This window comes from Homo sapiens, chromosome 12 (assembly GCF_000001405.40).
Source record: "Homo sapiens chromosome 12, GRCh38.p14 Primary Assembly".
Lineage (NCBI taxonomy): Eukaryota > Metazoa > Chordata > Mammalia > Primates > Hominidae > Homo > Homo sapiens.
Window position 1 is genome coordinate 62,185,716 of NC_000012.12, and position 15,233 is coordinate 62,200,948.

At 38.6% G+C, this 15,233-nt stretch overlaps 1 protein-coding gene across 5 annotated transcripts in view, besides 2 other annotated features; it reads right to left on the reverse strand.

Moving 5' to 3' along the window:
- TAFA2 (TAFA chemokine like family member 2) overlaps positions 1 to 15,233 on the reverse strand; it is a 551,762-nt gene that overhangs the window by 477,443 nt on the left and 59,086 nt on the right. The window contains exons 1-2 of one of the 5 annotated variants that reach the window (XM_047428774.1): positions 6,197 to 7,058; positions 5,544 to 5,689 (exon numbers count right to left, since the gene is read on the reverse strand). The exons of 1 other annotated variant lie outside the window; for it this stretch is intronic. The gene's annotated coding sequence lies outside the window, so the exon portion shown is untranslated. Of the gene's footprint in view, positions 1 to 5,169; positions 5,501 to 5,543; positions 7,059 to 15,233 lie in introns of those variants that run through there. 3 more of the 5 variants (XM_047428773.1, NM_178539.5, XM_024448965.2) reach the window with 3 other exon arrangements.
- Positions 6,450 to 6,983: an enhancer, noted in NCBI's record as "H3K4me1 hESC enhancer chr12:62585946-62586479 (GRCh37/hg19 assembly coordinates)". NCBI's record gives its function as "activates a minimal SCP1, AML or CMV promoter by ChIP-STARR-seq in primed H9 embryonic stem cells {active_cell/tissue: H9 hESC(primed)}" and the evidence as "EXISTENCE:reporter gene assay evidence [ECO:0000049][PMID:30033119]".
- Positions 8,353 to 8,647: a silencer, noted in NCBI's record as "tiled region #3206; HepG2 Repressive DNase matched - State 8:EnhW". NCBI's record gives its function as "represses a minimal TATA promoter and a strong SV40 promoter by Sharpr-MPRA in HepG2 cells {active_cell/tissue: HepG2}" and the evidence as "EXISTENCE:reporter gene assay evidence [ECO:0000049][PMID:27701403]".

Below are 15,233 nucleotides of genomic sequence, written 5' to 3' on the forward strand. Positions count from 1 at the left end.
TTTTCTCAAGTAATATGAATGGCCATTTCTAAATTCTTGACTGATCTGAAAGTCACAAATTCATTCCATCAATATATAATGCCCTATTGTTTGTAAGGTCCTGGAAGGCCTGCCCTCTCAAAGAATATATTTTAATAAAGTCTCTTTGTTCTATCACTAGGTGGAAGTTTGCTATTAAAATTCCTATAACCACATAACCCTTTTAAAACCATGGCAGAGTTTTCAGATATAGACAATAATTTTGAATGATCAGTTTTTTGTACCAGAAGGAATCTGTCTCCTCATAGCCCAGGACATTCTGGTTTGAAAACTTTAATTCCAAAGCACAAATGCACCTTTACAAAAATCTTCTGTTCTAGTGCCCACTATAATTTATTTTCAAAGACTTGTTTATAAAGAGCTGCATAATCCACCCAAAGAAAGTCAAAGTGTTTTTCTTTATTATTAAACTCAACAGAAAGTTCCATGTGCAGCTACAGGAGGCCATAGGCAATTAACACTGAAAATTGAAAGGTTCAGAATGTTTGCATGACCTTTAAAGGGCAACACCGTTGCCCATTCACATGCATGCAATTATGCAGTGACTAGTTTGTAGCAGCAAATATATATATATTTATTTATATTTAGTAAAACAAACCTTGCATTCATCAAAAACTACTTTGAACTTTCCAGGCTTCATGTAGAGAGTTAGCTTTACATAGTACAGGAGACTTGTTCAGCTGGTTCTCTTCATTTTGTCAAATTACTAAATTCAGCCTATCACCGTAATTGCTAGAATGCAACATTATCACATTATTGAATCTCTCTGTAGAGTTTCCAAAATCTACTGCATAAAGCTACGTTTAAAAGAAGCAATATAAATATAAATTTAATTGAATGACTATGTTTGTACTATTGCTGGGGAAAGGGAGATGTAACTTTGCTAACTAGCCATTCAGGGGAAATCATAAAACAATTACAGCTACTATGGAGTAACTTAGGAGATTGAAGGAAGTGATTAAAAGGACTTTATCTAATATAAACATATAAGCTCTGATTCCTTAGTTATATATCTCATACTCCACATGAACCACTGAACAAAATAGAGTATTCTTCTTACAGCTTAAATATTTACTCTTCATCTGATTTCAAGTAAACTAGAAACCTTATGTTTTCCAATGGCAATACCAATCAATTGCCTAAGTATTCCACTGACTAGCTTGCCTAATATTACAGCACAGGATAAAATCCAACATATCCATGTGGTATACACATTAGAAACAGGTGGATTTTGGAAAACTAACATAAATTTGGAGTATGATATCAATATATTTCTGGCAATTTTGTAGATACCATTTTAAACGAGAATAGTACACGCCAATGTAATACATAGTTTGTGCATTGACTATGGAGGTGTATATTCAATAAAGACAGCAGCACACAGATATGTTCAGCGTTCAAAATGTGTCAAAATTCCCAGTTGTAGTGTCAATAAAAACATCCACAGTGTCTCCGCATTGAGGACAAAAATGATTTTTTTTGCATTTGTAGCCTAGTAAATAAAAGTATCTCCAAAAGAAAAATTCATGAGAAAAATAGAATGTATTAACAATGGCTCAAACAGTAAAACTCAGTTATAAATGACGTTGTCACACTATGCATACAGTTGTACTGCAAGTCAAATCATGGAAAATAGTGGAAAAACTATGCACCTATAAAGGCAGACATTCTACAAAGTTGTTCTGATCACCCTGTTACGTAAAACCAGTATTTTACATGGGTGTCATTTAAAGCATATGTATGTATGTATGTATGTATGCATGTGCATATATGTATAGATACAGAGATTATATTGTTAGGTACTACAGAGAAATATATTTAAATACTTTCACATTCCAATATGTCTAACTTATCCTCTTAAAATTTCTGTAAGATTAAGAAGACAAGAATTGTTTATTTCATTGACGACACTGCACTGAATGAATCACTGCACTGAATGAACAAAATCAGACCTTCTAAAAATTACCCAATAAGTCAGTGGCCAATGACAATTAAAAAACAGAAACTAACTTCTATGTCTCTGTTTGCTGGGCTCACCTGTCAATCTCCTGTTTCAGATTGTGCTCCGAACCTAAAGTAAAACTGTTTTCTAAAGACTAATGGTAACTCAGTGTGAAATTATTTCTTCTCTTTCGATGGAATAATTAAATAGTTCAATATGCTCAAAGTAGTTCAAAATAAAGTTAACCAAAGAATTTTCAAATAAGATGGTAAATTCACCATATTACATGGCATTATAAAATCAGTGGTCCAAAAGCAGGCTATATCATGTGAAATTTTGTGTAAGCATGTGGCCAGATATGAAGTTGATGCAGCTGGTTTGGCCTTCATATCTAGCAGCAGGCTGTGTTAATGCATTTCTTCTCTTTGTTTCGATGAAGCCCTACTAATAACAGGTTGATGAATTGCATTTGCAAATGTCAGGCATAGATCAAAGGGGATGACGGCTTGGATGATTATTTTACCCCAAGTTGTGATTTTTCACCAAGAAAACAAAACTGCATTGCACAGTAAGGTTCCTTATTTTTACTTGAATCTTCAATGAACAAAACAGCTGCAGAAAAATGTGACTTAATGAGGCATCCCTAATAAAATACTGCAGAAGTAAAAGCAGGGGCACTGAACTGTTTGCACTCTGGTTGTTTCATCTTTTCAAATATATTAGAAATAACTGATGACACTTTGGAACATTCCTTGTTTGGGACATGCATTAGAGAGTTCGTCAGTAAATGTTCATCAGTTTGCAGTGATTGCTGAACTTTGGTGCAATCTGACAGGACCTTTTCTTAGGGGCCAAGATAAGAAATGACTGAGAAATCCTGAAGATACATATCTTACCCTTCCTGTATAAGGTAATCCATAACTTGCAATTAGTGATAAATCATCCTTAAATGTGTATTTTAACACAAAAATACATTTAAAAATGATCATCAAAATACTACATTGAAGACACTGGATCCAGGACTACTAACATTTTCTGATAAAATATAAAATAATTTTTAAATTTTTCTACCACCCTCTAAATTTTATCATTTTATAAATTTTTAAATAGGAAAACTGGCCATATCTAAAAACATATTTTTACAGCCATGTCATCACATTTTATAACTTGGTGGTTAGTAAATACCATATTGCCATCTCTAAGCAATATGTAATCTATTTTTACATAAATCCATAGGCAACTCAATGAATCTTCATTCTCCAATTTGTCATTGTTAAAATAGCTAATATTTTTCTAATGCAATATCACATATACTTAGAAGCCTTAATTCCCCTTTAGCAGAACCTGTAGCATTATATAGGCATTTGCTTTAATGTCAAAAATTCTGGGTTCATCTTTAAGAGACACATATCGTAGCACTCTACATAAATATGAATTCAAGCATCCTAAAGTACTAAATTTTTTAAAGGCAAGAAAAGAATCAAGATTTTCACATAAAAAAAAAAATGCCTAATCTGAATAAAACAACACACTAAAGCCATTTGCCTCTTAAAAGATTCCCTGTGCCTAAGTATTCAGTTGGCAGTGACATCAACCTCACGGACTTTTAGTATCTATAAATAATACAATCCAACTTTTTTATTGAAAATTAGGAAAATGAAAATATTTATAAGCTCCAGTGTGGTAACTGATGGCCTTTAAGTGGCTACTGGTGGCTTTAAAAATTAAGATTCTAAAAAGAAAGGTCAACTCAAACAATTGACTCAGGATGAGATTCAAAACAAAATAAAGTAAGGAAAGAGACAAACATGTCTGATCTTTTATTTGAAATATAGGATGTTAGGTGCCAATTTTGATATTGCAAATGATTAATCAGTCTGAGAGTACAAATGCAAACATGGAAAGGCTGGGGTAAGTACAAATAATCTTAATCTTCTGATTTTTAAAGCTTTAGAAGTGTTTTTAATCTCCTTTCCTGGTTATTTTGGTTTAGCACTTTACACAAAAATCTTAAATTAATTGTTCATTTGTCTTAACTTATATGCCTAATAAAGCAGTTTAGGAGTGTTAATTGACAACTCTGAATGTTGATGTTTAAAACAATCTAGTTGAGAAGACAAGAATCAGATAATTATCATTCAGTCAATAGTAACTGAAATTCATCCTGTCCTGTGTGAAGGACCCTGCTACACTACCAAGTACTTTGGGGACACTTCAGAGTAAAGGTTGCTTATGAGTTTGCTTTGTGTGTGTGTGTGTGTGTGTGTGTGTGTGTGTGTGTGTCTGTGGTTTTTAAGGTTTTTTTTCTCCACGAACCATTTTGTAAAATCCAAGAGGGGATTTCATACTCACAAAAAGATAATTTTTTCCCTCTCTCTCTCTTATTGCCATAATCAAACTCACGCAGCAAAGGTGAAGAGAGACTAGCCGCTGGAGTAACATTACTACACATTTGATTCCAAACGCTTCAGGCAATTGTTTAACACTCGGTCAGGACGTGGAATACTCAATAGGGAAGCCTCGCGTCCACCCAAAGGCTCTACGAGCGTCTATGGTTCTTCCTTTTCAGACAGGATAACTCAACCTGCAGTTCTGAGAGAAATAGGGCGACGGATCTCAAACTTTCCTTTGCAAAGCCAGTTTCTGAAAATAACACGTTCCCCCATTGATAAGTGAAGATCAGTAGCCTCAAGAAAACAATACTTGGTAGGCACCTGGCCTTTCAGAATTGAAGGGGGAAGGAATGGCAAAGCAGTTAGCAGAAAACCCGGGTACTAGTAGCAAGATCCGGGAGACATCTAACCGGAAAGAAATAAAAAACCATTAGTTTCCCGAAGCCATTCTTATTCTGAACGCTGTTCGTTAAGAGAATCATTTACTAAAGCTCTCTTGTAGTAGCCTTTACAAAAGCTTTATTTCATTCAGTAAGAAAGCGCCCCGTCCCAAATCTAAATAAACCTTACATAGATGAGGCTCCGGAAATTATCAGCTTGATTCTTTATGAAGATAGTTAGAGGTGGATAAATCAATAGACTCGCTGAAACACCCACCTTCTGCAAACAGGCCTGAGAATTAACTAATCAGAAGTGGACAAAAAGTAGGGATTTCAGAAAGATGACCTGACACATCCCATTGATCTTCCCTGGAATGCGACCCCCAACTCCTTATTAAGAGTCCAAAATGGTTACCAGCCAGGATGGGTCTGGGTGAGGAATCGAATTACAACCCACTTCAATCCTCGACCTGGTCGTTTGCTGTTATTAGGAGAAATGGGGCAGAGAGGGAGGGCACCGCTCACGGAGCCTCATTTCGCATGCTCCGATCCCCTCTCGGCGTCCCTCTACTCCGCCCCTACCCTGACCGCCCGCGAGGGAGACGCCGGCCGATGGACCCGCATCTGCCCTCACCTCTCGCCTTCCCCGGGCGATCCCTCTACAGTCCCGGACCCCCGAGAAAGGGGAAGGGAGACGTGTGCACACGGGGGCTTCCGGGACCGCGGTCCTGCAGTTGCCGCTCCGGTCCCCAGCGCTGGCCGGCGACCCGAGGCGCGGCTCGCACCTACCTGCAGCCCCGCTTCCCGGTGGCGGCAACACCTAGCGATGCTCCTGCAGCTTTTGCGGGCCGGCGCCAGCCTTATCGCTCTCGCATCGCTTCCAAGATGCCAATCCGCCGTCACCATCCAGGGGCATAGGGAACCGAAGTCTGGTGCTGTGTGATCGTGGAGGGCGGCGTGTGAGTGTGGCCCTGAGCGTGCGAGTGTGCGCGCGCGTGTGTGGATGTGTTTCCTCCTCCGATGGCAAAGACGGTTCAGGAATCTGACATCCAAGCTGGAATCCCCCTGAAGCGGGTGAAGGTGAGCCTGATCCTTCTCCCCGCTTCTTTATTCCACAGTGTCAAAGTAATCAAAAGATTTGTTTACTGAGGAAAAGCCAAAGTCCCGCAGCCCTTGGCAGCGCCCGCGGTCGCCTCCTGTCCTCGCCGGATGCGCGCGGTGCGCTCAGCTCCCTGGACTGCAAGAATCAAGGCGGTCTTGCTGCAATTACCGCTCTTATTCCATCTCTGATTTGTTTGCTTTTAAGGCCGACTAAAGACTTTTCCTCTCGCCTCACGTCGTCTCTCCCTCTCACACACACACACACTCACACATCCTCCGTTCCCTCTCTCCCGCCCTCCCTCTTGTTCTCTGGGGAAAGGCAATTGGACAGAATGATTCACCTTCAGGAAAGCAGCCTCGGCCACGCACTTCTCGAGTTCCCTGGCTCTCGCAGGTACCGGGTCTCCAACGTGGCGGAGTTGCTGGGAAGCTCGGGACAGGAAGGAGGAGAGGCTCTGAGCTCAGCCGATGTCCCCCCTCCAGACGCCCGCGTTCCTCCGTCCAGGTGCCCCTGTTCCCACTGCTCGCAGATAGGTCCCCGCTGGTGCCCTCGCGGAGACTTGGCGCCTTCCACTCGAATCCACTTAGCAGCAACTCCTGGCCAGCTTCAGCCCCTCAATCCCGCCTCGAAGTGCTGCGGGCAGAGCCCCACGCAGCCCACCCGCTGCCCTTCTAGGCATCGTGGGCTGGAAGGAAGGGAAACCCGCCGATGTCCCCCTGGTAGCAGTGCCCTGGCACCGTCACCACCGAGGAGGTGCGAGTTCCAACATCGAACACAAGCGAGCAGGTGTCGCCTGTGTCACTTTGCTAAAGGCGGGAGGGGAGAAAGAAAGGAGCGGGGGGAGGGGGCCGAGGAAACAAATCCAGATCACCGGCGGAGAAAGAAGCCGTTTAGCAAGCAAAGCCTCCTCTCCGCGTCCCACCCCAGATGCTATACTGTCAAAAGACACTGATGCTAATCTTTTAGAAAGTCGCCATAAAGGGCAGAGCCCCTGCTCCACTCTAGAACCCTATTCCACCCAGCCTGGCTGTCCAGTGAGTACAGAGTGACTTGGCTCCCCCGTATAGTGCAGCGAGAATGCAGGAGAATAGGTCCTGACACTCCAGGTTGAGTTAAGCAGTAAAATGGAATGGCAGGGCCGGGCGGCGTTGCCTCGCCTCTCTCTCCCAACAGCCAGTTCTGTTAGCCCCAGCAACTGCCGTTGAGAGCAAACAACGGTCCTGCAGAAAAAGAACGAGACAGTAAAAGATGAGGAGGCAACTGGTATAAAAGCTGGACTATGTCTCCCTCTAGAGGGTCAACCGGATTAGAACGCTTTACTAGATGTAACAGACCAGTTTCTCTCCATAAAGAAAAAGAAAAAAATATCTGGTTTCAGATAATTTGCATTTTTACAAATTACAACTTCTCAAGGATTTAGACGGAGGATTTTCACTGCAGCCCTATTAAGCAAAGCCCTTGCTAAAGGAACGTCGTGATATTCATGACGCTGGAAGGTCATGTCCTTACATGTTTGGTCAAATTGGGTGTCGGTTTAAGCGCTGTGCATATGAGCTCAAATGAAGGGTCTTCTGAGGCTCACTTCGATCATGTTTGGAGATGAGCAAAACCTTAATCTAGTGATTAGAAGACTATTCAAAAATGAATAATTAGTAAGAATGAATTCAGAAAAAGAAAATCTGAAACAAAGAAAGGGAATGCTGACCCAGGAAATTTTACAAGTCCTTTACAAGGAAAGATAACTCAAGAATCTGGTTTTGGAGCCAGTTTTCATACCTCTTTTTCAACTAGACCAATAATGGTCAAGATAGCTAAATTCCTTCCAGCTCTAAAGGTCTGTGCTTTTATATAGCTGTGATTCACTGAAACCATTGACAAATTAGGTATCACAAGCTCTCTTCACCAGCTATAAAATAAAAGTAATACTACATACCATATTTACAAAGAAATATAGAATATGTGCTTCACTTAGCTATTTTATCTTAACATGCTTAGTAAATCAACCATATTTTGTATCTAAAATGCATCAAGTAATTTAATTATGTTGAGGTGGTCATTTTTATAAAAAATAGCTCCACCGATTTTATAAAGTTTTGTTACATCAGTCCAAATCAAGCTAGGTCCCATCTGTAACCTTAACATTTAGATTTTTGTGAACTTACTATTTGAGCTGGGGGTTTGCTTTCAAAATGTTTCTGTATGTTCAAAAATTGTAAAATGTGTATTAAAGTTATTATTAAACACCCTTCCATTCACTCTGAATTTCTGGAGCAGTTCTATTTTAACTTGATAATCTAAATTAGCACAGTCATAAAGAAAGAAAAGAATGTATTTTTTAAATAGCTGAGACTAGTTGAAATCATTTAAAACAAAGCACCAAAACTAAACAAGGCAAGTTTTACCGTAACTAATTGCTCTATGGCATATTTGACTTTGTCTAGTAGTATACAGCAATCATTTGTTTCCAAGGATCTCTCAGATAGTCTCTTTCAAAAGATTTATGCCATGTGATTAAATATTTCATTCCACTTACATAGTAACTTATATCCAGGAAAGCAACGTTTACATTTTAAAACACCTGGCACTGTTGCACTGCAAATCTTACAGTATTTTTTTGTCTGCTGTGTTCAATAGTGTGATGAAATTCAAGCAGGAATGACATTGGAAACTTGGACTCTGTACTAGAAAGAAGTCACTTACAAAATCACTTTAGAACATTGGCTTTCTTTTCACACACACACACACACACACACACATACAAAAAAACATAAAGCATACATTATAATCTTTCTACCTTCTAATTCATTAACTTTTTGTGGTTGTAATCTATAGTTTTGTCATCTTGTTAAAATTTTATTTGTATTGTTTAAGTGTGGGACATTTTCAGCCTTATTTTTCTAACTAAACCCACTGTGTTTTTACAATATATGAAAAAGTAAAGAGAACAGATATATAAATTAATTACAAAATAGAACAAAATTTCTTATCCAATGTCATATGATGCTGAAATTCTATCATAACCTCTGTGCTTTTTGTAAATAATTCCCAATAATTTTTAGATCAAGATATTCCTATTTCCAGCATCTCCTAGACAAAATAAAATCTTTTGCATTCTCTTCAAAGGAAACAAAGTAGTAAAGATTCTCCTAATTTAACAGAAATTTTTTGTTGATACTTCTTACCTTCTACAGGCATGCCTCAAAAATGTTGCAGGTTTGGTTCCAAACCACCACAAATATTGCAATAAAGTGAGTCACACAATTTTTTTGGTTTCTCAACACATGTGAAAGTTATGTTTACACCATACTGCAGTCCATTAGGTATGCAATAGCATTTTGTCTTAAAAATGTACATATCTTACCTTGAAAATGGTTTAATGCTTTTTTTAAAAAAAGTGTACTGATGATCTGAGCCTTCAGTGATTCCTAATCTCTTTGCTGATGGAGAGTCTTGTTTCAGTGTTGATGGCTGCTGATGGATCAGGGTAGTGGTTGCTGAAGGTTGGAATTGCTGTGGCGATTTCTTAAAATAAGACAATAATGAGGTTTGCTGTGTCAATTGACTCTTCCTTTCACAAAAGATTTCTCTGTAACATGCAATGCTGCTTGATAGCATTTTATCCACAGTAGAACTTCTTTCAAAATTGGAGTTAGTCCTCTCAACTCTGCCACTGCTTTATCAGTCAGGTTTATAAAATATTCAAAATCCTTTGTTGTCATTTCAACAATATTCACAGCATCTTCACCATGAGTAAATTCCATCTCAAAAAAAACTACTTTGCTCATCCACAGAAGCAACTCTTCTAGCATCTAGAATGGTGAATGATCTCCAGAAGCTTTTCAATTTACTTTGCCCAGATCCATCAGAGGAATCATTATCTATGACAGATGTAGCCTAGCAAAATATATTTCTTAAATAAGAAGACTTGAAAGGCAAAATTACTCCTTGACCTATGGGCTGCAGAACAGATGTTGTGTTAGCAGGCATGAAAACAACATGAACCTTCTTGTACATCTTCATCAGAGCTGTTGGATGACCAAATGTATTGTCAATAAGCAGTAGTATTTTGAAAGGAATCTTTTTGTGAAGCCAGTAGCTCTCAACAGTAGGCTTAAAATATTTAATAAAATATGCTGTAAACAAATGTGCTGCTATCAGGCTTTCTTTTTCCATTTATAAAACACAAGCAGAGTAGATTTATTATAATTCTTAAGGGCCATACGATTTTCAGAATAGCAAATGAGCATTGGCTCCAACTTAAAGTCACCAGCTGCATTATCCTCTAACAAGAGAGTCATCCTGTCCTTTGAAGCTTCGAAGCCAGGCACTGACTTCTCTCTAGCTGGGAAAGTCCCAGATGTCATCCTCTTCCAATATAAGGATGTTTATTTACATTGAAAATCTGTTGTTTAGTGTATCCACCTTCATCAATGATCTTAGCTAGATCTTCTGGATAACTTGCTGCAGCTTCTACCTAAGCACTTACTGCCTCACCTTTTACTCATGTATTATGGAGACAGCTTCTTTCTTTAAATCTCATGAACCAACCTCTGCTAGTTTCAAATTTTTCTTCTGAAGATTTTTTACCTTTCTTTCAGCCTTTATAGAATTGAAGAGAGTTAAGGCTTTGCTCTGGATTAGACCCTGGCTAAAAGGAATGTTGTGGCTGGTTTGATTTTCTATCTAGACCACCAAAGCTTTCTCTATGTCAGCAATAAGACTGTTTTGCTTCCTTATCATTGTGTGTTCACTGGAGCAGCACTTTTCATTTCCTTCTTGAACTTTTCCTTTGCATTCACAACTTGCCTAGCAGTTTGGCTCAAGAGGCCTAGTTCTCAGCTTTTGACATGCCTTCCTCCCTATTAAGCTTTTGATTTAAAGTGAGAGACATGAGACTCTTCCTTTCATTTGAACACTTACAGACCACTGTAGGGTTATATTAATGGGCCTAATTTCAATATTAGGTCAGGGAATAGGGAGACCCCAGGAGAGAGAGGGAGTTGGGGGAACAGCCAGTTGGTGAAACAGTCAGAACCACACAACATTTATTAATTAAGTTTGCCATCTTACATAGGCACAGTTCATTGCATCCTAAGACAATTATAATAGTAACATCAAAGACCAGTGATCACAGACCGCCATAACAGATACAAGAATAATACAAAAAGTCTGAAATATTGTGAGAATTACCAAAATCTAACACAGAGACATGAAGTGAGCACATGCTGCTGAAAAAATGGCACTGAGGGACTTATTCAACACAGGGTTACCACAAACCTTAAATTTGTAAAAATAAAAGAAAATAATAATAATAAATAAAAACAATATTTGCAAAGTGCAGCAAAGAAGGGGTCTCCAACCCCCAGGGACTGGTACCCTCCCTGTTAGTAACCCAGCCTCACAGCAGGGGTGAGCTGTGGGCAAATGAGCATTACCGCCTGAGCTCCATCTCCTGTCAGATCAGCTGCGGCATTAGATTCTCACAGGAGCCTGAACCCTATTGTAAACTGCACATGCAAGGGATCCAGGTTGTGCGCTCCTTATGAGAATCTAATGCCTGATGATCTGAGGTGGGATGGTTTCATCCCGAAATTATCCCCCACCAACTGTCCATTGAAAAAAATTGTCCTCCATGAAACCGGTCCCTGGTGCTGAAAAGGTTGGGGACTGCTGCAATAAAGTAAGGCACAACAAGCTGAGGAATAGCCATATTTGTTTAAATTGCCATCCTCCTCAAGTCTAAGCAGTAAAAAATAATTTCTTTAAACACTGAACTTAACTGGATTGTAACTCTATCATAGCTTTCCATGTTCTGTTCGCTAAAAATCACTTTGGTGCACTTCAGGCTTTTTCTTTTTTGCCTTTTATAGAAAATTACTTTATTGAAGTATAATTGATATACAATCAACTGCATGTATTTAAAGTGTACAATTTGATGAGTTTTGACACATGGGTATATCTGTGAAACTACCACCAGTCAAAATACCAAATGTTTCCATTCCCCCAAAAGTTACCTCATGCCCATTTATAATCCATATCTTCTTCCAGTCCTGTCTCTAGCATCCACTGATCTAGTTTCTGTCACTATAGTTTGCATTTTCCACAGTTTATATAAATTGAATAGTATTTTATGTGTTCTTTTTTTGTCAGGCTTCTTCCCATTGGAATAATTATTTTCAGATCATCTGTGTTGTTGTACATAGCAATAGGTCATTCTTTTTTACTTCCAAGTAGTATTTCACATTGTAGATATACCACAATTTCTTTAACCATTCACCTCTTAATGAACATTTGGGTTACTTCTAGTTTGGGGATATTAAAAATAAAGCTGCTATGAACATTTGTGAAGAAGGCTTTGAGTGAACCTATGTTTTCATTGCTCTTGGGTTACTACCTAGAAATGAAATGGCTGGATCATATGGTAGGGTATGTTTAACTTAAAAACAAGAAGTATTTTCTAAAGTGTCTGTGCCATTTTGTATTCCCATCTGCTGTGGTGGAGAGCTTTTGGAGCACTTCTAGCTTTCTACAAAAGGCTTTGTATTATATCCAAACTCCTTACCTCAAATCCCCACAACATCTCATAAAGCAGACGATATAAACCCACTTATCACATGAAAAAAAAAATGAGACAATCTACCTGTTATTATATATTGGAGCTGAGATTCAAACCAGATCTATCTAAAGTCAGAGCCAGTCATTGATTTTTTGTTTGGCTTGGTTTTGTTCTTGTTTTTGTTTTCCCAGCCTCCTCTCTTTCTGCCTCCAACCCCTGTATCACAGGGAGATCAAACTCATTTGGATCTGGATATGGAAAAGGCTTTAGCCAGAGAACCTGGGTTCATTAGTAAGAATAAAGAGAAGAGATTAGTAAGAGAGATAGAATAAGGAGAAAAATTAGCTCTGGCTCCCCGCAGTGTTCTGCAAGATACGGTATTATAACAATTAAATTAAAACTTACGAGTCCCAGTTCATAGTTCTTAGCTTGTAGGATTGCTACCTACAAGCCATTCATCCCCACTTGTCTCCTCTTATTTTATTTGATGTTAACCAAGTTATTTCTAACTTATGCAATAATGTGTCTCTCACTTATCTTTTAAATGTTTTTTAAAAACATTTACAGAATATTTTCATGTAATCAAGTGAATGGAAGGAAGCACAGAATTCATTCCACACAACCCAAGGTTACATGCATGTTATTAACTTATGCTATCCCCATCCCCTAGCATGGTACCTTACACACAATAAATACTCTATAAATACTTTGTGGTCAAAACTCAGGAAACCAAACAGGCCAACTGAATAGACACATGCCATGGAGATAAGTCAAGAAGACCATTTCACAAAGTGATGTGAGAAACAACTGAGGCAGGAAAACTGTCCTACATGTAGTAGGCAAATATAACAAACCACCCCAAAACTTAGTTACTTAAAGAAGAAACATTTATTTAGTTCACATTTCTGTGGATTGGCAATTTGTTTTTGGCTCATTCTTCCCGACTCGGTTGGGCTTACTCATGTGTCTGAAATCAACTGGCAGTGCATTGCCTCCGTCATTATCTGACAATTGGCTGATTGTAAGCTGGAGTACTGGGGATAAGTAGGCCACATGCCTTTTTATTTTATTTTACTTCATTTTGTTTTAAGTGCCTGGATACATGTGCAAGACGTCTAGGTTTGTTACATAGGTAAACATGTACCATTGTGGTTTGCTGCACCTATCAACCCATCACCTGGGTATTATACCCCCATGCATAAGCTATTTATTCTGATACTCTCCCTCCCCACACCCTGCCAACGCCATCAGGCCCCTGTGTGTGTTGTTTCCCTCCCTGTGTTCATGTGTTCACATTGTTCAGCTCCCACTTATAAATGAGAACATGCGGTGTTTGGTGTTCTGTTCCTGTGTTAGTTTGCTGAGGATAATGGCTTTGGGCTCCATCCATTTCCCTGCAAAGGACATGATCTCATTCCTTTTTACAGCTACATAGCATTCCATGGTGTGTGTGTGTGTATGTGTGTGTATATATATATATATGTATGTGTATATATATATAAAACATTGTCTTTATCGAGTCTATCACTAGTGGGAATTTGTGTGGATTCTATATCTTTGCTATTGTAAATAGTATTGCAATGAACATATACATGCATGTATCTTTATAATAGAATGATTGATGTTCCTTTGGGTATATACCCAGTAATGGCATTGCTGGGTCAAATGGTATTTCTGGTCCTAGGTCTCTGAGGAATCACCACATTGTCTTCCACAATGGTTGAACTAATTTACATTCCCACCAACAGTGTAAAAGTGTTTCTGTTTGTCCACAACCTCAACAGCATCTGTTGTTTCTTGCTTTTTAATAAACACTATTCTGATTGGTGTGAGATGATATCTCATTGTGGTGTTAATTTGCATTTCTCTAATGATCAGTGATGTTGAGTTTTTTTCACATGCTTGTTAGTTGCATATATGTCTTCTCTTGAGAAGTGTCTCTGTTCAAGTCCTTTGCCCACTTTTTAATAGGGTTGTTTGTTTTCTTCTTGTAAATTTGTTTAAGTTCCTTGTAGATTCTGGATATTAGACTTTGTCAGATGGATAGACTGCAAAATTTTCTCTCATTCTGTAGAATGTTTGCTCACTCTGATGATAGTTTCTTTTGCTGTGTAGAAGCTCTTTGGTTTAATTAGATCCCATTTGTCAATTTTTCCTTTTGTTGCAATTGCTGTTTATGTTTTCATCATGAAATTTTTGCCCGTGCCTATGTACTAAATGGTATTGCCTAGATTTTCTTCTAGGGTTTTTATATTTTTGGACTTTACATTTAAGTCTTTAATCCATCATGAGTTAATTTTTGTACAAGGTGTAAGGAAAGGGTCCAGTTTCATTTTCTGCATATGGCTAGCCAGTTATCCCAGCACAGTTTATTCAACAGGGTATCCTTTCCCTATTGCTCATTTTTGTCAGATTTGTCAAAGATCAGATGGTTGTAGATATGCAATCTTATTTCTGAGATCTCTATTCTGTTCCATTGGTCTATTGTCTGTTTTTGTATCAGTACCATGCTGTTTTGGTTACTGTAGTTTTGTTGTATAGTTTGAAGTCAGGTAGTGTGATGCCTCCAGCTTTGTTCTTTATGCTTAAGATTGTCTTGGCTATATGGGCTCTTTTTTGGATCCATGTTAATTTTATAGTAGCTTTCTCTAATTCCGTGAAGAATGTCAATGGTAGTTTAATGAGAATAGCATTGAATCTCTAAATTACTTTGGGCGGTATGGCCATTGATTCTTCCTATCCATGAGCATAGAATGTTTTTCCATTTGTTTGTGTCCTCTCTTATTTCCCTGAGCAGTGGTTCGTAGTTCTCCTTGAAGAG